The sequence below is a fragment of the Homo sapiens genome, chromosome 9, assembly GCF_000001405.40.
Source record: "Homo sapiens chromosome 9, GRCh38.p14 Primary Assembly".
Taxonomy (NCBI): domain Eukaryota; kingdom Metazoa; phylum Chordata; class Mammalia; order Primates; family Hominidae; genus Homo; species Homo sapiens.
In genome coordinates, this window is record NC_000009.12 from 22,014,283 (window position 1) to 22,036,634 (window position 22,352).

Sequence of the window (22,352 nt, forward strand, 5' to 3'; positions counted from 1 at the left end):
TTCCCCAATAGCTAGGACTACAGGCACACATCACCTGGCTAATTTTTAAATTTTTTGTAGAGATGAGGGTCTTGCTTTTTTGCCCAGGCTGGTCTCTAACTACTGGGCTCAGCCTCCTAAGCTCCTCCTGCTTCAGCCTCCCAAAGTGTTGGGATTACAGACATAAGCCACTGTGCCTGGCCTGGAATATTTCTATATAGAAAGTTCTCTTCATTATCTACTTCATTGCTTTCAGGTATATGTAAGAAAGACAGGATAAACCACTAGATTTTGAAATGTATTTATAAATTTTCAAAATAATGAGTTGAGTCCTAGAATCTTTCTTTTATTATTATTATTATTATACTTTAAGTTTTAGGGTACATGTGCACAATGTGCAGGTTAGTTACATAGGTATACATGTGCCATGCTGGTGTGCTGCACCCATTAACTTGTCATTTAGCATTAGATATATATCCTAATGCTATCCCTCCCCCCTCCCCCCACCCCACAACAGTCCCCAGAGTGTGATGTTCCCCTTCCTGTGTCCATGTGTTCTCATTGTTCAATTCCCATCTATGAGTGAGAACATGGCGGTGTTTGGTTTTTTGTCCTTGTGATAGTTTACTGAGAATAATGATTTCCAATTTCATCCATGTCCCTACAAAGGACATGAACTCATCATTTTTATGACTGCATAGTATTCCATGGTGTATATATGCCACATTTTCTTAATCCAGTCTATCATTGTTGGACATTTGGGTTGGTTCCAAGTCTTTGCTATTGTGAATAGTGCCGCAATAAACATACGTGTGCATGTGTCTTTATAGCAGCATGATTTATAATCCTTTGGGTATATACCCAGTAATGGGATGGCTGGGTCAAATGGTATTTCTAGTTCTAGATCCCTGAGAAATCGCCACACTGACTTCCACAATGGTTGAACTAGTTTACAGTCCCACCAACAGTGTAAAAGTGTTCCTATTTCTCCACATCCTCTCCAGCACCTGTTTTTTCCTGACTTTTTTTTTCTATTTCTAGACTCTTTATTAAGATTCATTTTCCTATGAAAAAGTCCATTCTTTAGTCAGTTCTACACTGTCTTGATTAAGGTAGCTTTATAGGAAGTTTTTAAATCAGGTAATGTAACCCCTCCAAATTCATCCTCCCTTTTCGAAATTGTTTGGTCATTCTGAATCCTTTACTTTTTAATATAAATTTAAAAATTATCTTGCCAAATAATCTTGTTTGAATTTTAATTGGGATTGTGTGGAATTTATAGATCAATTTGGGGAAGACTGTCATCTAAAAATATTGAATCTTCAATTCATTAACATGAATTTATTCCCCCATTTATTTTTATTTATTTATTTATTTTTCTTTATTATTATTATACTTTAAGTTTTAGGGTACATGTGCACAATGTGCAGGTTAGTTACATATGTATTCATGTGCCATGCTGGTGCGCTGCACCGACTAACTCATCATCTACCATTAGTTTCCTGACTGTTTAATGATTGCCATTCTAACTGGTGTGAGATGGTATCTCATTGTGGTTTTGATTTGCATTTCTCTGATGGCCAGTGATGATGAGCATTTTTTCATGTGTCTTTTGGCTGCATAAATGTCTTCTTTTGAGAAGTGTCTGTTCATATCCTTCGCCCATTTTTTGATGGGGTTGTTTGTTTTTTTCTTGTAAATTTGTTTGAGTTCATTGTAGATTCTGGATATTAGCCCTTTGTCAGATGAGTAGGTCGCGAAAATTTTCTCCCATTTTGTAGGTTGCCTGTTCACTCTGATGATAGTTTCTTTTGCTGTGCAGAAGCTCTTTAGTTTAATTAGATCCCATTTGTCAATTTTGGCTTTTGTTGCCATTGCTTTTGGTGTTTTAGACATGAAGTCCTTGCCCATGCCTATGTCCTGAATGGTAATGCCTAGGTTTTCTTCTAGGGTTTTTATGGTTTTAGGTCTAATACAAGGGACGTGAAGGACCTCTTCAAGGAGAACTACAAACCACTGCTCAATGAAATAAAAGAGGATACAAACAAATGGAAGAACATTCCATGCTTATGGATAGGAAGAATCAATATCGTGAAAATGGCCATACTGCCCAAGGTAATTTATAGATTCAATGTCATCCCCATCAAGCTGCCAATGACTTTCTTCACAGAATTGGAAAAAACTACTTTAAAGTTCATATGGAACCAAAAAGGAGCCCGCATTGCCAAGTCAATCCTAAGCCAAAAGAACAAAGCTGGAGGCATCATGCAACCTGACTTCAAACTATACTACAAGGCTACAGTAACCAAAACAGCATGGTACTGGTACCAAAACAGAGATATAGATCAATGGAACAGAACAGAGCCCTCAGAAATAACACCGCATATCTACAACTATCTGATCTTTGACAAACCTGAGAAAAACAAGCAATGGGGAAAGGATTCCCTATTGAATAAATGGTGCTGGGAAAACTGGCTAGCCATATGTAGAAAGCTGAAACTGGATCCCTTCCTTACACCTTATACAAAAATTAATTCAAGATGGATTAAAGAGTCGTAGCATCTTTCAAAGGTGACTAATGATTTTAACATTATTACTATAAACCTATAGATTTAAACATAATTGCTATGTTTTAACCCATTATAGTTATTATTCCTGTTGATGATCAAGCTCTATCTTTGGCCAGTGGGAGCCTCTGCAAATTGATTAGTGAATCTTTTTGACATGGAACTATTAGTCTTTGACAAAATCTTTGATTTCTGGTATGACAATATATTCCAGTTTTATCTTATATACTTCCAGTCCTATACATAATATTAACTTTTTTTCAAAGAATTACTGGTTTTATTTTTAGTGGGAAATGGCATTTAAAATAAGGAAGTTGGCGAGGCGCAGTGGCTCACGCCTGTAATCCCAGCACTTTGGGAGGCCGAGGCGCGCAGATCACAAGGTCAGGAGTTCGAGACCAGCCTGGCCAATATGGTGAAACCCCATCTCTACTAAAAACAAACAAAATTAGCCAGACGTGGTGGCACACACCTGTAGTCCCAGCTACTCAGGAGGCTGAAGCAGAAAAAAATAAATAAAATAAGGAAGTCTGCCTATATGGGTTATCTACCTCTTTTTTAGGGCTCAACCTACCCGTTTCACACAAACCCAACTGAATTCGGACTCTATATGTGCTAGGCAAGTTTGAGCTTTTTCAGGTGTACACACAGGGTTTACTGAACTCTGGCATATAATTATTTATTTATTCATTTTATCAAGTTTTGTCCTATCATTGAAACTCATTCTTGAATAAAGTTATTATATTTAGTTCAGTTACAGCAGACACCCCATTTTGAAAACATTATGTCAACATTGGCTTGTGTACCTTGTCACATCAGTAATGTACAGTTCTCATTTACCAGAAATTTTTATATGAACAACATATTGAAGTTATTAAGTTAATGAATTCTGCCAAGGTATTGGTATATATTTGTTCATTATAAGCATTTAAAAACAAAGGAACCTTTTAAAGTTGAAGATAATTTAATGGGCCATTGCATGCAAAGAGGTGTTGCATTAGTAACCAACCTTAAACTACTGCTGAAACAACTTTATGCTTGAGTTAGATATGTTGATGGGAGCCAATAATTGTGAAATTTGTGTATCCAGACTCTCTTCTGCTCTGTTCTTAATGGATCTAGTGTTAATGTTAGAATCTAGTGCATTTCACAACTGTTGCTATTATAGATGGAATATCAGGAGGGGTAGTGAGGTATTGAGATAGATGAAAACATTTTCTAAAAGTGGCTCACGCCTGTAATCCCAGCACTTTGGGAGGCTGAGGTGGGTGGATCACCTGAGGTCAGGAGTTCAAGACCAGCCTGACCAACATGGTGAAACCATGTCTCTACTAAAAATACAAAAATTAGCTGGGGGTGGTGTCAGGCACCTGTAATCCCAGCTACCAGGGAGGCTGAGGCAGGAGAATTGCTTGAACCCAGGAGGCAGAGGTTGAGTTTTCTCCACAGCTTTGGATCCTGATGACTTTTTTTTTTTTAATTGTTACTTTCAACTTCCTTGCTTTGACTGAAGCCATACTTACATATTACTGATAACATATGCCATGGGCCGCGCATGGTGGCTCACGCCTGTAATCCCAGCACTTTGGGAGGCCGAGGCGGGTGGATCACCTGAGGTCAGCAGTTCAGACCAGCCTGGCCAACATGGCGAAACCCCGTCTCTACTAAAAATACAAAAATTAGCTGGGCTTGGTGGTGGGCTCCTGTAATCCCAGCTACTCGGGAGGCTGAGGGAGGAGAATCGCTTGAACCTGGGAGGCAGAGGTTGCCTGTGCACTCGGGCCACTGCCGTCCAGCCTGGGTGACAGCGCAAGACTTCATCTAAAAACAAACAAAGAAAAACATAATCCATGTATGTGATGTAAAGAGCGCCAACATGTTTATATCCTCCTATTTCAATCTACTTTTACTTCATCTACATTTTTAGCAATAATGTGAACATGAAATCTTGAATAATTAGCTATCTGTAATATATTTACTCATCCACTCAAAATATTGAGCCCCCCCAATAAATATCATACACTATATTCTAGGTACAGGTGATAAACAATTCAGAGAGTATTAATTTCAAAACATGGTAAGTGCATAGTGAGAGAGCTGATCTGGTCTGGTGGTTGAGGGAATCAAGAGATATTTGAGTTGAGGTCTGCAGTATTATAGAAAATTAACTAATCAAAAGAGAGGCAGTCATTCCAAGGAAGGGGATGTGAGTCAGAAGAAACTGCATGTGGCAAGCTCTGAGGTGGGACAAAGCAAGGACATATTGAAGGAATTGTGACTGGAGCATAGGGATGGAGGAAAACATTGTAGCTAGCTGAGAAATAAGCATGGAAAAATGTTGTAGAGCTGTATAGGCCATGTTAGGACTTTTGTCTTTATCTTAAGGATAAGCCATTGATGTGTTTATAAAGACACATGATGTGATCAGATTTTCAGTTAAATTTAAAAAATACTTGGAATGCATTTTGGAGAATGGTTTAGGGGAGAGGCAAGAGTGGATTCTGTGGGCCAGTAGTTCAGAGGATAGGTTATGGTAGCTTGGACTAAAGTGCCTGAGCCAAGATGGAGAGAAGTAGATTGCTTTAAGACATATTTAAAGAATAACATCAGCACTTAGCAATGAACTGGAGATGGAAGATGAGGGAAGGGAAGGTGTTAGGCAGGTTTTTACAATGAGAGAGGTTGGTGATCATGGTCACCAAGGTAGGGAATGCTGGATGAGGATGCAGTTTAAGGTGAAGATTATGAGTTCAGGTTCAGCAAAACTGAACTTGAGACATGGTGAACTATCAAGGTGGAGATATCCAGTGAAAGTTAGAGAGAGGGGTCTAGAGCTCAGGGAGGAGTGTGTATCCCTAATTTAGACTAATTTGCATTAACAGCTGTAGTAATGCAATTTTCTCTATACTGAAATGCAGACATTTGAGTATAGAAAATTAGCAGACATTTGAATATAGAAGAAAGATTTACTTTCCTTCAGAAAAAGAATAGTAGAGTATAAAGAATAATATTTAATCCTAGGAATTAATACCAAACCCTTTAAAAAAAACTTTTAAGTTCAGGGGTACATGTGCAGGTTTGTTACATAGGTTAAACTTCTGTCATGAGGGTTTGTTGTACAGATTGTTTCATCACCCAGGTATTAAGTCTAGTACTTGTTAGTTAGTTATTTTTCCTTATTTTCTCCCTCCACCCATCTTCCACCTTCTGATAGGCCCCGGTGTGTGTTGTTCCCCTCTGTGTGTTCATGTGTTCTCATCATTTATCTTCCACTTATAAGTGAGAACATGTGGTATTTGGTTTTCTGTTCCTGCATTAGTTTGCTAAGCATAATGGCTTCCAGCTCCATCCATGTCCCTGCAAAAGGACATGCTATTGTTCTTTTTTTATGGCTGCATAGTATTCCATGGTGTATATGTACCACATTTTCTTTATCCAGTCTATCACTGATGGGCATTTATGTTGATTCAATTTTTTTTGGCTATTGTGAATACTATTGCAATAAACATACACATGCAAGTGTCTTCATAATAGAATGATTTATATTCCTTTGGGTGTATACCCAGTAATGGGATTGCTGGGTTGAATGGTATTTCTGTCTTTAGGTCTTTGAGGAATCATCGCACAGTCCCCCACAATGGTTGAACCAATTTACACTCCCACCAGCAGAGTCTAAGTGTTCCTTTTTCTCCACTACCTCAACAGCATCTGTTATTTTTTTTGACTTTTTAATAATAGCCATTCTGACTTGTGTGAGATAGTATCTCATTGTGGTTTTGATTTGCATTTTTCTAATGATCAGTGATGTTGAGCTTTTCTTCATATGATTGTTAGCCACATGTATGTCTTCTTTTGAACAGTGTCTGTTCATGTCCTTTGCCCATTTTTTAATAGGGGTGTTTTATTCTTGTAAATTTGTTTAAGGTCTTTATAGATGCTGGATATTAGACCTTTGTCAGATGCATAGTTTAAAGAAATGTTCTCCCATTCTGTAGGTTGTCTGTTTACTCTGTTGATAGTTTCTTTTACCGTGCAGAAGCTTTTTAGTTTAATTAGATTGCATTTGTCAATTTTTTCTTTTGATGCAATTGCTCTGTGTCTTCCTCATGAAATCTTTGCCTGTACCTATGTTCTGAATGGTACTGCCTAGACTGTCTTCCAGGGTTTTGATAGTTTTGGGTTTTACATTTAAGTCTTTACTCTATCTTGAGTTAAGTTTTGTATATGGTGTAAGGAAGGGGTCCAGATTTAATCTTCTGCATATGGCTAGCCAGTTATCCCAGCACCATTTATTGAATAGGGAATCTGTTCTCCATTGCTTGTTTTTGTCAGGTTTGTTGAAGATCAGATAGTTGGAGGTGTGTAGTCTCATTTCTGGGTTCTCTGTTCTGTTCCATTAGTCTGTGTCTGCTTTTTTTTATGTTCTTAACTTTTATTTATTTATTTATTCATGTATTCATTTATTTTTACCAGTGCCATGTTGTTTTGGTTGCTGTAGCCCTGTAGTATAGTTTGAAGTCAGGTAATGTGATGCCTCCAGCTTTGTTCTTTCTGCTTAGGATTGGTTTGGAAAATTAGGGCACTTTTTTGGTTCCATATGACTTTTAAAATAGTTTTTTCTAGTTCTATGAAGAGATTCAATGGTAGTTTCATAGGTATAGCACTGAATCTATAAATTGCTTTGGCCAGTATGGCCATTTTCACAATACTGATTCTTCCTATACATGAGCATAGAATGCTTTTCCATTTGTTTATGTTATCTCTGATTTCCTTGAGCAGTAGTTTGTGGTTCTCCTTGTAGAGATTTTTTTTTGTATCCTGAGACTTTGCTGAAGTTGTTTATCAGCTTAAGAAGCTTTTGGGCTGAGACAATGGGGTCTTCTAGATATAAGATCATGTCACCTGCAAAGAAAGATAGTTTGACTTCCTCTCTTCTTATTTGGATGCCTTTATTTCTTTCTCTTCCCTGATTGCCCTTGCCAGAATATTCAATACTATGTTGAATAGAAGTGTTGAATAGAAACTAATGCTGCAAGCATTAGTTTCAAAGAACTTCTTGATTTCTGCCTTAATTTGATTGTTTACCCAAAAGTCATTCAGGAGCAGGCGTTTCACTTTCCGTGTAATTGTATGGTTTTGAGTGAATTTCTTAGTATTCATCTCTAATTTAATTGTGCTGTGGTCTGGGAGACAGTTTGTTATGATTTCAGTTCTTTTGCATTTGCTGAGGAGTGTTTTAATTCCAATTATGTGATCAATTTTAGAGTATGTGCCATGTGGTAATGAGAAGAATGTAGATTCTGTTGTTTTTCACTGGAGAGTTTTGTATATATCTATCAGGTTCATTTGATCCAGTGTTGAGTTCAGGTCCTGAATATCTTGGTTAATTTTCTGTCTCGGTGATCTGTCTAATATTCTCACTGGGGTGTTAAAGTCTCCCACTATTATTGTGTGGGAGTCAGTCTCTTTGAAGGTCTGTAAGAACATGATTATGAATCTGGGTGTTCCTGTGTTGGGTGTATATATATTTAGGATAGTTAGATTTTCTCGTTGAATTGAACCCTTTACCATTATGTAATGCGTTTCTTTGTCTTTTTTGTTCTTGTTGGTTTAAAGTCTGTTTTGTCAGAAACTAGGATTGGAACCCTGCTTTTTTCTGATTTGCATTTCCTTGATATATTTTTCTCCATCCTTTTATTTTGAGCCTATCTCATTGCATGTAAGATGGATCTCTTGAAGACAGCATACCGATGGGTCTTGGCTCTTTACTTGGCTTGCCGCTCTGTCTTCTAATTGGTGCATTTAGCCTATTTACATTTAAGGTTATGATCCTGTCATCATAATGCTAGCTGGTTGCTTTGCAGACTTGTTTTTGTGGTTGCTTTATAGTGTTACTAATTTGTGTACTTCAGTGTGTTTTTATAGTGACTGGTAATGGTCTTTCCTTTCCACAATTAGTGCTTCCTTCAGGAGCTCTTGTAAGGCAGGTCTGGTGGTAACTAATTCCTTCAGCATTTGCTTGTCTGCAAAGGATCTTATTTTTCCTTCTCTTATGAAACTTAGTTTGACCAGATATAAAATTCTGGGTTGGAGTTTCTTTTCTTTAAAAACATTGAATATTGGCCTCCAATCACTTCTGGCTTGTAGGGTTTCAGCTGAGAGGTCTGTTGTTAGTCTGATGGGGTTCCCTTTGTAACCTGGGCTTTCTCTCTGGCTGCCTTTAACATTTGTTCTTTCATTTTGACCTTAGAGAATATGATGATTATGTGTCTTGGGGATGAACTTATTATGGGGTATCTTACTGGGGTTCTCTGCATTTCCTGAACTTGAATGTTGGCCTCTCTGGCTAGGATGGGGAAGTTCTCATGGATGATATTTTAAAATATGCTTTCCAAGTTGGTTCCACTATCTTCCATTTTTTTCAGGTAAACCAATGAATTGTAGATGTGGTCTCTATATAATCCTATATTTCTAGGAGGTTTTGTTTATTCATTTTTATTCTTTTTTCTCTATTCTTGTCTGCTTGTCTAATTTTGGAAAGGTAGTCTTCAAGCTTGGAAATTCTCTCCTTCACTTAGTCTATTCTGTTATTAATACTTGTGATTGCATTATGAAATTTTGGGGGTTGGGAGTGGTGGCTCACACCTGTAATTCCAGCACTTTGGGAGGCTGAGGTGGGTGGATCATTTGAGGTCAGGAGTTTGAGACCAGCCTGGATAATGTGGTGAAACCCCACCTCTACTAAAAATACCAAAAAAAAAAATCATAGCTGGGCATGGGGGAACATGCTTATAATCTCAGCTACTGGGGAGACTGAGGCAGGAGAATTGCTTGAACCTGGGAGATGAAGGTTGCAGTGAGCTGAGATCGTGCCACTGCACTCCAGCCTGGGTGAGTTGAGAGTCCGTATCAAAAGCAAACCTACACATTTTTGTGGCCTGTTTTTAGCTCTATCAAGTCAGTTACATTCTTCTGTATTCTAGCTTTTTTATCTGTAAGCTCCTGCAATGCTTTATTAGAATTTTTAGTTCCTTTGCATTTTGTTACAACATACTCCTATAACTCTGCGAACTTCATTCCTATCCATATTCTGAATTCTGCTTCTATCATTTCAGCCATCTCAGCCTCAGCCTGGTACTGAACGCTTGCCAGAGAGGTGATGTGGTCCTTTGGAGGAAAGAAGGTACTCTTGATTATTGAGTTTTCAGTGTTCTTGTGCTGATTATTTCTTATCTTTGTGGGCTCATCTACCTTCAATCTTTGAGGTTGCTGACATTTGGATTATTTTTTCTTTTATCCTATTTGATGACCTTGAGGGTTTGATTGTGTTATAAGGTCAATTCAACCAACTAGCTTTGTATCTGGAAGACTTTAGGGGGCCATCGTTCACCTCCCAACTCCTGGACTGCATGTTCTAACTCTGGATGACTTGTATTGGGCCCCAACTTTGTTCTCTGGTTCCTCGAGGTTTGGAGTCTACTTTGTTGGAGGACCAAGGTGTGGCAGCTCCAGCTGGGTGCTAGCGGATTCAGGGGTGCCTGCCTCCCTGCAGGCATTCACCATGCTAGTGAAGGCAAGGCATTTTTGTGGGGAACAGGAGGCTCCTGCTATAGACTGTCTGTGCTTTTGCACTGGTGATGGTGTTGGTTTGGTGAGAGGCACTGACCAGTGCAGATCTGAGTGCCTTCTTGGTCACCTGCAAGCAGGAGGGATTGCTCAGGGTGTGGGAGGATCCTCTGTTCTCCATGCAGCATTACCACAAGAGTGAGGCACTGGCAGCTGCAGGGCTTGCTGGCTGTGTGCTGCTAAGGTTCTGTCTGCAATGGTGGTTGACAGAGGTCAAGGGGCATACTTCCCTCCTGTATGCTAGTGGGGCAACTAAAGCAAATTCCACCTGTGCAGACATGTGCCTGCAAAGTGATGTGGGGAGTTGCCATGGGCTCAGGGGAAGTTGCAGTATGGGTAGCGAACACCCGGCTGGTGTGCGCAGTAAGGGCTGTCTTGCTGGAGTTCTCCACTGGTCAGGCATGGCCCACTGGTGCAGAAGCTATTCTGTGGGCCACCACAGCACCCAAGATGGCCCTAGAAGAGGCCAGCAGACCAAGGAGTGCTCAGGTTGCACCAGCCCTGACTGATGTACAAGACCACTCTGCAGATATCAAGTCTGAAAATTCCCCTAGGGCCAAAGTCTATTATGGGAGCAAGTTGAGCCTAGAGGGATCGCCATCCCTGTCCATGCACTGCTGTAGACACTCCTGCACTAAACCCTCTGGGCTCCACATCAGCTGGCTTGCTGCTCTACCACTTTGCTTGTCTCTTGGGGGCTCCACCCCAGAGAGATGTGGGTCAGCAATCATTCAGTTCAATCAGCCCAGGATGGAGAGTCTGTGCTATGGGCCCAAGCCAGGGGCTCTCTGTCTGGTGACGAGCAGCTGGGGGGTGGGGTGGGACCTGTGGGAGATGGACTGGCCTCCTCTCCTTGAGTCAACTGCTGCTTATTGGAGGTGTGGATGAGACACTTAGGGTCTTTGCTCCTTTATTAGTCAGAGGGTAGCAAGGACAGTTCCATTGCAGAGGTAGTGGCAGAGAGGCTTTCAGTTGTCCGTGGCGGCTCTGTCCAGGGAGTTGCTGAGTTGCTATTGGCTTGATATCTCTGGTGGGGTGTGGCTAGAGGTCCAGGCCTGGAGGACCTGCTCGTTGAAGAGATGTGGGAATGGGCACCCACATAACAGTCTGTTCACTTTTCCATAGGGCTGCTGTAGTATGCTGGGGGCCAGCTCCAGTCCCTGGTCACTTTAGATTTTCCAGTACCTGGAGGTGTCACCAGTGAAAGCTGCGAAACAGCAAAGATGGTGGCCTTCCTTTCTCTCTGGGAGCTCCATCCCTGGGAAATACAGGCCTGTTGCTGGCCCGAACACACTGGTAGGACATGGCTGAAGACGCTAGTTGGGAGACCTCACCCAGCCAGGAGGAATAGGATCAGGGACCTGCTTTCAAAAGTAGTCTTGCCCCATTTTCATAGAGGAGTTGTGCCATACTGGGGGTATGCTTTAGCCCCTGATTGCCTCAGACACTCTGAAGCCCAAAGGCTGGAATGGCTAAGTTGTTCTAACAGCAAATATGGTGGGCTGCTCCTCTCCCTGGGACAAAGGTCCCATGGAAGTCTGAAACCTCTCTCAGTCAGAGAACACCAGTTGGGGTAGCCGGGGACCCCAGATGGGAGACTCTACCCAGTGATGAGGAACGGGATTGGGGACCTGCTAAAAAAAAAAAAAAAGCAGTGTGGCCACATTTTTGTCGGGCAGCTGTTCTGTGCTGGGGTTCCCCTTCCACCCCTGCTTAAGCTCCCCAAAGCCTGAAGGCTGGAATGGGTAAGTTGCCCAAACAGCAAAGATGGCAGCCTGCCCCTCCCTCTGGGAGCTCTGTCCCAGGGAGTTTTCAGATCTCTGTCAGCTGGAGAACACTGGCAGGTGTGGCTGGAGGCCCCAGTTGGGAGGTCCCGCCTGTAAGGATGAATGGGATCGGGGACCAACTTAAAGCAGCAGTCTGGCCACATTTTAATAGAGCAACTGTGCTGTGCTGGGGGATCTCTTTGGCCCCTGGTTAGTTTGGACTCTCCAAAGCCCAAAGGCCATAATGGCTAAGTTGCCCAAACAGCAGAGATGGGGGCCTGCCCCTCCTCCTGGGAGCTTTGTACCAGGGAGGCACAATGTTGCTACTGGTGGCTAGCTGGAATTCCAAGCCAGTGGGTCTTATCCTGTGAGGCGCTGTGGAAGTGGGGCCTGTAGACCTTCTCTGCTGATCTCGCTGGATTCAGCCTCTTTTCTGGGGTATGTATGGGAGTCTAACCTCCTGGGGTATGTTTGGGGGTCTAACCTCCAGCTTTGCCAAAGTCGCAGCTACTTTTGCCCAGACACCCAGAAAGCTGGAGTAGCTAAAGCTCTTGGGTCTCCATGCATGCCTGAGTGGCTGCTCTGCTGAGACTCCACGTGGCTGTGTGTGAAGGGCCTAATGGAGTGAGTTCACAAGGGGATCTCCTGATCTGAGGTTTGCAAAGATCTGTGAGAGCAGTGTGGATTCCCAGAGTTGCGCATTCACTTACCACTTCCCTGGGAAGGGGAGTTTCCCTTGACTCCACGTCTTTCCCAAGTGGGCTGTCTTCCTGCCTTGATTTGCTCTGGTCTCCGTGGGTCGAGTTGTTTCCTTGATTACTTCCAATGAGAGTACCTTAATGTTTCAGTTGAAGGTGCTATATTTAGTCACCCCTTTCTTTCCGCCCTGTGAGAGTCACACACATTAACTGCTTCTAGTTGGCCATCTTGGCCACTCCTGCCCTAAACCTTTCTAGCAAAAAAAAAAAAAAAATTAATAACATGTTGATCTACCGCTTCTCTCTCTTTAAATTTATTTAATCATTATGAATTTTTTTACATTTATTTACATTGTTAAGCTGTTTTATTTTAAAAATTCTAGGTCCAGCTCTTCCTGGATTGCTTTTATATAAGGAACATATCTCATGAAATAAATAAAATTCACATTCAAATGCAGAAGAATCTATTGGAAAAAACTCAGAGGACAGGATAAAAGCACTCAGAAAAAATGCCAGGAGAAGGCGTTTATCACATAATATCGCTGATAAGAGTCTCTCGAAAATTTTTCTCTCTATTCATTCTTACCAAATATAGAAAGTGAACAAAACAATATTAGTATTAGAAAAAACATCCAAAAATAATGACCTTTCTGAATGAAGACTGCTTTTTTCATGGTTACTCTTTTTGGGGTACAGTTCTATGTTGATTTATCCAATTTATCAAATAGCCATTCAGCAAATATTTATTGAGTGTCTGTTATGTCACAGGCACTCTTTTCGGTCCTCAAAATACATCCGTGACAAAGAGTAAAAGATTCCTGTTCATGGCTCTTACATTCCAGGAGGGATAGCAATTTCTTTTGTAAAGTTAATCACACAACAGAAATGTGAAATAATATTGATGCTGTAAGGAAAGGAAAAATAAATGAAATAAATTGAAAAAGAAATGTGAAGGAATAATTAAAAGAGGCTATATTTTATTGAATAAAAATAAAAGAGGCTATGTTTTATTGAATATGCTCCATGTTTTATACTATATCATAAAACATACAAGATCTGGCTTTTAAGAAATCAATATCTTCATCAATATCTTCATTCAGACTCATCTAGATTAGATTACTCTGAATCTAATCACATAGAGACTTGTCTGACAAATCCAGATTTTTTGGACGTTCTGCAGGACTATTTGTCAGGATATTTCACAGGATTCCAAGAAATAATATTGGTGTCCATGCTATAATGATTCCTCAGCTCCTCCCATCTGATAAAATATTGATTTCTTATACATATAAAACATATAAAAATATTTAAAATATTTTTTGTTATATGAGTGAATCAATAATAAAACCACTATCTCAATAATCATCAACTGATTGCAAACTGATTGTTCATCTCAGAAAAACCTTGGCAGAGTTAAAATAAAAGTTTCAAAATACAGAACTTAGTACCAAAATTAAGGCAGTGTTAGGTTTCTAATTTTGCTATTCACATGTTAAATGAATTTTCAAAATTCAGTAGCTAATACTAGCTAGGGTTTTAAACAAGACATAGTTAAAATGAAACTTTAAAAAAAGAATCATAAACTTCAGTATCATCATGATGGCAGTTTTAGGATTTTAATGTTGACACCCTAGTCTCAAATTTGTACTTAATGTGGTTATATAGCTAGGCAGTGCTGGAGTGAAAGTTTCAAAACAAATTAAAATCAAAAGTTAAGAAAAAAATATGAAGGCAATTTTAAGGTGTTTAATTTGGCACTGTAGTTTCAAAATAGTACCTGAAACTTAACAGCAAAGTATCAGATTCATTTATAAAACAATGTGACTGATCTTTATGTATGGTTTGTGAAACATTTATGCAGTGTCACTTCAGAAAACTCTGCCATTATAGATTTGAATTGATTAAGGATATCCACTCCTTTCCTTGGCATGATACAAATAAATTACTAAAGTATAATTGTAACAATGATAAATATAAGTGACAATACCACCATATTACTATGAAACACAGATTGATTATGGTATAATACAATTTAGCATCTCCATATTTTTGAAAATGAACTTGTTTCTCTAACTGGCTTAATTTGGGACAATTTGGACATCAAAAAGAATGATGATGCAATTTAAACCATACAAAAATTAAAAAAAAAAATCCAAGGGACGGTGGTGAAAGTCTTCTTTCTAGAAGAATAGCAGCTAATATACACAGAACGAATCTTAGAATTAGAAAATCACTATATTTTGATCCCCTTCCCCAAAGGGTGACAAAACCATTGGTAGACAGTGGTTGAGAAACAGAATAGTCTCAGGATATCACTCCGTAGATTTATTCATTAATTAAAAAGAGAAAATGTGCTTTGAGAGAGAGAAAGCTATTACCGTCTTTATCAAATAGGAGAGCCTGATCATGTGTGGTCTGAAGTTTATCTAATGGGATTCCTGATGGAATGTTTAGTCTGAATCTAATCACATAGAGACTTGTCTGACAAATCCAGATTTTTTGGATGTTTTGCAGGACTATTTGCCACGACATTTCAAAGGATTCCAAGAGAGAATATTGGTGTCCATGCTGTGATGATTCCTCAGCTCCTCTCATCTGATCTCCGTCCTGGCCCCCATGACTTTCTTTGTGGTAGTTAGGGTGTGGTATGTGCCACTGAGGCCCACACCTATTGCTGTAAGTGCTGTTTGGGAAACCATCATCTTTCAGGTCTGTGTGATAAAAGAAGAGCCTTGGGGAAATGTTCTCTTCCAAATTTAATCTTTACATTATTAGAAAATATTTTGATGACCTGTTTTCAAATATTTTCTTATAACTTTCCATTTTCATGTGTTTATTCTGACAGTTTATTTTATCTTGTATTTATAATCACTAAGATGTTAGTATTGTAATATTAATATTACATGATTTAAATTAGGAAAAATGTGTTTTCTATTACAAAATGGATAGTGGATAATTTAAGTATAGAAAGTAATATTTTCTATATGGGACTATTTCACTCTCTGTAATATCCTGAATTCTAATTCCCACTGTAGTGAGCTATAACTTTACTAATCAGTTTTCTTACAATCGATTTTAAGTCTATTTTGTTAGATCTAAAGACATAAAGCCAAAAGTTCTTCTTGAAGAGAAGCACATTTCAGTTACGTTTATAACTTGAAATATCTGGTTTTACTCAAAACTCACATGTCATACTGAAAAACAGAAGGGAGATGTTGTCTTTTCTTGAGGAGAGACTTCTCTGCAGTTAAACAGCTCACCACATGTTTAGAGTACATAGACAATACACTTCCTCTTTTGTAATGTAGATTTCAGCTTTTTGCTTGTAGAATTATCATTGGCGTGGAGGTTATACAGGGGAAGTAGTGAAAAATGTAGCCAATACCAGGAACCTTAGGAAGTGTCTGAACTTCATCTTTTCTGTGTTCCTTTGCCCTTAGGGGGTCAGTGTAAGAGTTTGGGCTAGGAAGAGATTGCTTCTTTTACTCTATTTAGTTTGTACTTCCTATCTGGGTATTTGACAATAAATGACTCATTCTCTTTGTTTGCCCTGGTGTTGAAAAATTTTCCCATATGCCAGAGAAAAAATGTTACAGTGACACAATGTAAAATTGTAAGAGGTGGAAAAAGATGAGGTATGGACATAGTGAATGGAAGTTCAGCCCTTTAAAACTACTGGCAGAGTAGATTTTACTCAGGCTTCAATTAAGTAGACCTGAATGTAAATTCAGGTCTAGCTCTGCAACTTACTAGGTAAGTGACTTTAGTCCTCTTTAAGATTTAGTTTCCTCATTACAGGATATAATAATACTATTTTTCTTATGAGGTAAGTATTAATTGAAATAGTATATGTACATTCTAGCATACAGTGATCCCCTAATAAATGGAACTTATCATTAATACATTGCTAGGAAAAGAAAAACACATCAGGGAACAAAAGATATAACTGTCTTATTGATAACAGGGGATGGATTCTTGTGGACAAAAAAATTTAGAATTGAATTTTCAAGGGGTCATTTCTTTCACCAGGTGTAGTTAGGTTTGCTCTTATGGTAACAATGAATATGTTTGTTTAGCTTCTTAAACCGGCATCATGGAACGTTAATTAATAAACAGAATTCAATGTATTTGTGGGGCATTTTATTTTTTATGCAATCATTTGTATATATCACCTTCACAATGCATGCCACATTCTCAGACCACCTATTATGTTATTTTCTTAACATTTTTCTTCAAATTCACTCACCCTTTTAAAAACTTTACTGAAGTCTCACTTAAGCACATAATTTGTAAAATCATGGGTTTGTTGTGCAAGTTTTGTTTTTCTAATACACTCTAAAACAAATACCTTAAAAGAGTTACACCTACAGTCCATATACCACCCATAATCATCTCAAGTACCTCCAGTGCTTGTTACTGCACTTTGGAAAACACTAACATACATTATTCTCATTAGTTTTTATAATAGTTATATGAGGTGAATAGAGAAGGCATAACTATACCCATTTTAAAGATGAGAAAAGCAGGTTCATGGATAAAATCTCATAGTAAATTGCTAGAATTGGTCCTGATACTCATGCTTTCTTTAGATCAACCCAGTGCTCTTACTGTAATTGATACCAAATTCTTTAAGGAAACTTAGAGCTAAAAGTAAAATTTTTTGTATTTAGACCTGATTATTTTGTGGTAATTTGAATATAGGTCAATATGAAAAAAAATAAAAGATGAAACAAAGAAACTGAGAGCAGATCACCAAGTTGCGGTAGGTTAGCCTAAGATAGCTTTTGGTTTTCTCAGCCTTCTACTATTCACAGCTTTGTGTAATCCCCTCCACTTGAGTATCTTGCTCATACCAATAGAATATGGTAGTAGAGTAGAGGTCACCTCTCTGATAAGTTTACAGAAGATTGCGACCTCCGTCTTGCCAGAGTACTTCCTCTCTTGCTGGTTTTGATGAAGCAGGCTGCCACAGAAGAGAGGCTCACATGGCAGGGACCTGAGGGCAGCCTCTGGCCAACAGCAAGCAGTAAACAGATGCCCTCAGTTCAATATCCCTCAAAGAAATGAATCTTACCAACAGCCAGTTGTGTTAGCTGGGAAGCAAATCTTTCCCTAAGGGAGATTTCAGATGAGGCCCCCAGCCTTGGTAGACACCTTGATTGCAGTCTTGTGAGAGATTGTGAAGCAGAGCTATTCTCAGAATTCATGGGTGTTTTAAGCTATGAGGTTTTTTTTGGGGGGAGAATGGTCATTTGTGATTCAGCTATACATAAGTCTACAAAAGTCATTCCAGAAGTGATTCAGTGGAGGTAGAATCATGTGGTTGTGAGCCCCAGGCACTTGGAGTTCTGATAGAATTGTGACTTCTAACACTGGACACCTTTTCTTTTTCTCTTATTCTCCCATTTTTCTCCTTTCCCCTTTTCCTCCCTTCCTTCCCTTCATTCCTTCTACTTTTTCCGTACTTTAAATTAATAGAGCAGTTGGAAACACAAAAGCAATGTCTGTATCTACAAAATGTCATTATTTATACTTTGTATCCACAGTGTGCTGCCTAGGGCTTCATGCCTGAGGTGCATCTGTAGAAGGTGCTCAACAAAGGCTTGGCTGTTGGTATTATTGAATCACTGTGGAGTTTATTCATTGTTGTCCATGCCATTTTGAGTTTTCATTTTTTTATTTATGGGAGTGTCTTTATTCTTTTAAAGAGCTTTGTTTGTACACTCATTTTCTCTCTCTCTCTTTTCTTCCACAGGCAATTTATAGCACTGATCTGTCATCAATACCACTTGCTGTCTTGGATGTGAAGATGATTTTTCCTGCAGGGATTCCCTCTACAAAATTAAAAACACTGGGCATGTGGAAATAATATTCATGCTTTAAATTGTCTTTTCTCTTCACTACACCAGGGGTCCCCAACCCCTAGGCCACAGACTGTGGCCCTAGTGTAGTGAATAGAAAAGACAATTTAAAGCGTGAATATTATTTCCTCATGCCCAGTGTTTTTAATTTTGTACTGGTCTGTGGCTTGTTAGAAACCAGGCTGCACAGCAGAAGGTGGGCAGCAGGTGAGCAAGCATTACTGCTTGAGTTCCGCCTCCTGTCAGATCAGCAGTGGCATTAGATTCTCATAGGAGCACAAACCCTATTGTGAACTGCACACGCAAGGGATCTAGGTTGTGCGCCCTTTATGAGAATCTAACTAATGGCTGATGATCTGACGTGGAACAGTTTCAACCCAGAGCACCCCCCACCCACCTGCAGAAGAATTGACTTTTACGAAACCAGTCCCTGGTGCCAAAAAGGTTGGGGACCACCGCTGCACTACACTACCTAAAAGATTTTCACTTTCACAGTGTTGCTTGCTTCTGTTTTACATGCACAAGTAGCTAAAGCTAGCCTTCTGGTAAATGGAGGGGCAGAGCAGATGGTGGGGGAGGAGTACATACGGACGAATTTGAATCACAATTTCCTCACTATATGCCAGCAAAATTTAATAATAGCACCTAAACATACACATGCATATGTAAATGAGTCACACTATAAAAACTTTTAACAAGTACTGGCAAGTCAGATGGCAGACTTACCCTGAAACCTGCCACTCCAATAAAAACCTCATAATTAAAAACAAGGCTGTCTATAAAGCATAACATATAATAACAATTATTTGCAACTGGTACAAGGCTAGATTAGAAAGTTGAAAGTTATCTTTCTCAGGTAAAAATGCTTTTCCTATACAGTATGCAGCCAGCAGATTATCATCCATAGTTTGAGTAGTGAGATGCCACTTGCTCCAACAATTAACACCTGCTGATGTTGGTCCAAGAAGAGACTGAGGTGATGCAGTTTCACCTGTTTTGTAAGAATAACGCTGGTGTTTGCCATCTATTGACAGAGTGCCTACTACGTGCCAGATGCTTTGTTGGCACTGAATGTGCTATCTCATTCCAGTTTCTTTATACTCAATGAAAAACCAACTACATTTATATTGCATTGAGGCTTAAAGTGGTTTACTGACTTGCTTAAGATTATACAAGTAGTAGGTGGCTACAGCAGGGTTTGAACCCAAGTATGCTTGATTCCCCAAACCATGCTTTTTAAAAAATCAAAGGTGTAACTTCGATAAAAGACATGAAGTTAATGAATATATGAAAGATGGTGAATAGATACAGATACAATGTGGCCTTAGGCCAGATCATGTTGAACATGTGGTGGGATAGATAAGAGAAGGTTCTTCTTTGTTGTTACCTGGTTCTCAATTGGTTATTACTTTATGTGCTTTCCATATTAAAATTCTATTATTCTGGTCTATAAATTCACCCACCCAGACTTGCCTAAACTAATTAAACCCTGAAGTTTGGCATGTCTCTTTTTTGGGGTGCCTCTATGATAGGTGGTAGAAATGAAAATGGAATTAAAAGTTTTGTGAAGCTATAGCACTACTTTTTCATTGTGTTCCCCCCTGACTTTCTGCCTTAGGTGTTTACTTTGGTGAGATATCCTGGGAGAAATTGAGGTGAAAAGAAGCCCGAGTTAGGATTAGGGAAGAGATGAAGTAGTCAATAAAATTCAAATTCTTGTATTCTGAAACGCAACTATTCTTTCTCCAACTTGGTTTTGGACAGAATGTCTTAGTGTAGCTGTTAACAAAGAAATTGATGACAATTAACTCCCATTTCTCAGAATTTCATCATTCTTTGAAAGTGTTTATCATACTCAATCTTCTAAAAATCCTTAAGGCATACTACAGTGTAGAGGTTGGCAAACTTTTTCTATAGAGGTCCTGATAGTAGCTTGTTTCGCTTTTGAGGGCCATCGAGTTTCTGTCACAACTACTCATCTCTGCTGTTGTAATAAAGACTCACCCATAGACAATACATGAATGAAGGAGTATCTATGTTCCAATAAGACTTTTAAAAATAAAATTAGGCAGCAAGACTGATTTGACATAAGGGTCATAATTTGCTAACCTGTGGTATAGTGAAAGGAGTTCAACTAGAGTTTGATTATGGCTGTGCCATTCTAGTTGGGTAGTTTTAGGAAAGTTATTTAATTTAGATTTGATGTAGTTTTCTCATATGTAAAATGGGGATAATAAAACCTGCTTCACAAGACTACTATGAGGAGTAAGCTATGTAGCTAAATATAGCAAAATATCTGGCATCTAATAGATGCCTAATAAATGGTGACTATAATGATTCTTATCATTACTGTATTATTTTAAACATTTATCTTTTTTTTTTAGGTTGTTGTCTAACTAAGGTATTTAGAGAAAATAAGTGCTGCTGAGGGCAGCTGGAACTGTTTTGCTGGTTCATCACTGAAATTCTAGTTCTTGTTGGTGCTTATTTCATAATTATGAAACTAATTCTTTTGAAAAGAACTTGAAGTAGAGCAACAAGAACTAAGATAGAACTAATACCATTCTCTCTCAGTTCTTATTGCTTTACTTCAAGTTCTTTTGAAAAGAATTACATAGATATGGGTGCATGTGTTTGTTTATTTTCCTTGTTGGGTAATCGTGAATATGTTGATTGGCGTCAAACATGGGTCTCACCTATACCCATGGCAGTAAGCTTCTATTGATTTGAATTCAGACTAGCCCTGGTGGCCCTGTGAGTGGGAAAGTCTAGGTGTGCCTAGCTTGGTCTGTGGTTCCACGAGGGGTTGGATGCATCTGTTCTACTTGTGGAATGTTGGCACCAATATATTGGCTGCTTCTCCGAGTATTTGCCTTTGTCTTCTTTGTGAAAGGTCACTGGCTGGTTTGAGCTATTGGGCTGTTTATGCCACATCCTGTGCATGCCACACTGGCTTTCTTTCTGTGGTGTTTCCAGAGATAAGTTTGCCTGATAGAAGTCAGACTCTGTGGCTTTTTATCATTATAGATTTTTCTAGAAGGAGAAGAGGCCATGATCACATCTGAGGATCCTGAGTCATTGTAGACATGTACTGAATTAAAGAGAATTTTTTGACTAAAGGAGAATTGCATCAATCACGGTGAAGGAGATGCCACAGGACAGGGCCTGAGGTGTTGGCTTAGCCACAGATGTAAGGGCTACAGTTAACAGACAACTTTCAGTTTCCACTATTGGAAGGGATGATCAGTCCTTCCCTCCTCTATTTTCTTGAGCCCCGTTTTTCACCTTTCTTTTTCTCTCTCCTTTCTTATCATGAAGAATAAAGACAAATGAGAACAGATCTACCTTAGGCTGATACAGGGCAGGGAATCCATTTAATAATAAAACGTGGGTCAAAATTCACTTTTCTCCTTTTGAATTGAAATTATATTGTGCATGGGCTAATTAGATTGAATGCTGTAAACATGAAGATAATGCTTGCAAAGTAGCTACAGAGAAAGAGAAAAAGCCTAAAACAACCAGTAGTGCTTAGGACCAATAGTATAAGTCTTTACACACTACATTTGAATAATACTGTAAGACACAATTCTTTGATAGGTTAAATAGCAAATCTAGGCCCCCCAAAATTATTTAAAAAATTGTCATTTTAATTCTAGAGGTATAACAACAGTGTGTAAGTTGCATCAAATAACAAAGTTAGTCTACAGCCTAAATTGTTTCGTCCTGCTTTTTTCACTTCTATGCATATTTTTATACTTCCATGCTAGAGCTACCTCATTCTTTTAAAATTGTGAGATATTCTATAATTTATTTGTATTCCCCTATTAATATATTTTTAGCTTATTAGTTTACTTA

General features: G+C 38.9%; 1 long non-coding RNA gene across 32 annotated transcripts in view, besides 2 other annotated features; it reads left to right on the plus strand.

Moving 5' to 3' along the window:
- The window catches only part of CDKN2B-AS1 (CDKN2B and CDKN2A antisense cis and trans regulatory RNA 1), a 133,352-nt gene that overhangs the window by 19,492 nt on the left and 91,508 nt on the right, over positions 1–22,352 (plus strand). For 9 of the 32 annotated variants that reach the window (NR_047532.2, NR_185863.1, NR_185851.1 and 6 more), the window contains exon 2: positions 15,151–15,312. The exons of 19 other annotated variants lie outside the window; for them this stretch is intronic. This is a non-coding gene — a long non-coding RNA (CDKN2B and CDKN2A antisense cis and trans regulatory RNA 1). Of the gene's footprint in view, positions 1–15,150; positions 15,313–18,391; positions 18,705–22,352 lie in introns of all 32 variants that reach the window. 4 more of the 32 variants (NR_185867.1, NR_003529.4, NR_047539.2 and 1 more) reach the window with 1 other exon arrangement.
- Positions 11,742–12,941: an enhancer, noted in NCBI's record as "MED14-independent group 3 enhancer chr9:22026023-22027222 (GRCh37/hg19 assembly coordinates)". NCBI's record gives its function as "activates an origin of replication core promoter dependent on BRD2, BRD4, P300/CBP and CDK7 cofactors, and independent of MED14, by STARR-seq in HCT116 cells {active_cell/tissue: HCT116}" and the evidence as "EXISTENCE:reporter gene assay evidence [ECO:0000049][PMID:35650434]".
- Positions 15,789–15,868: an enhancer, noted in NCBI's record as "active region_28245". NCBI's record gives its function as "activates an Ori minimal core promoter by ATAC-STARR-seq in GM12878 lymphoblastoid cells {active_cell/tissue: GM12878}" and the evidence as "EXISTENCE:reporter gene assay evidence [ECO:0000049][PMID:35858748]".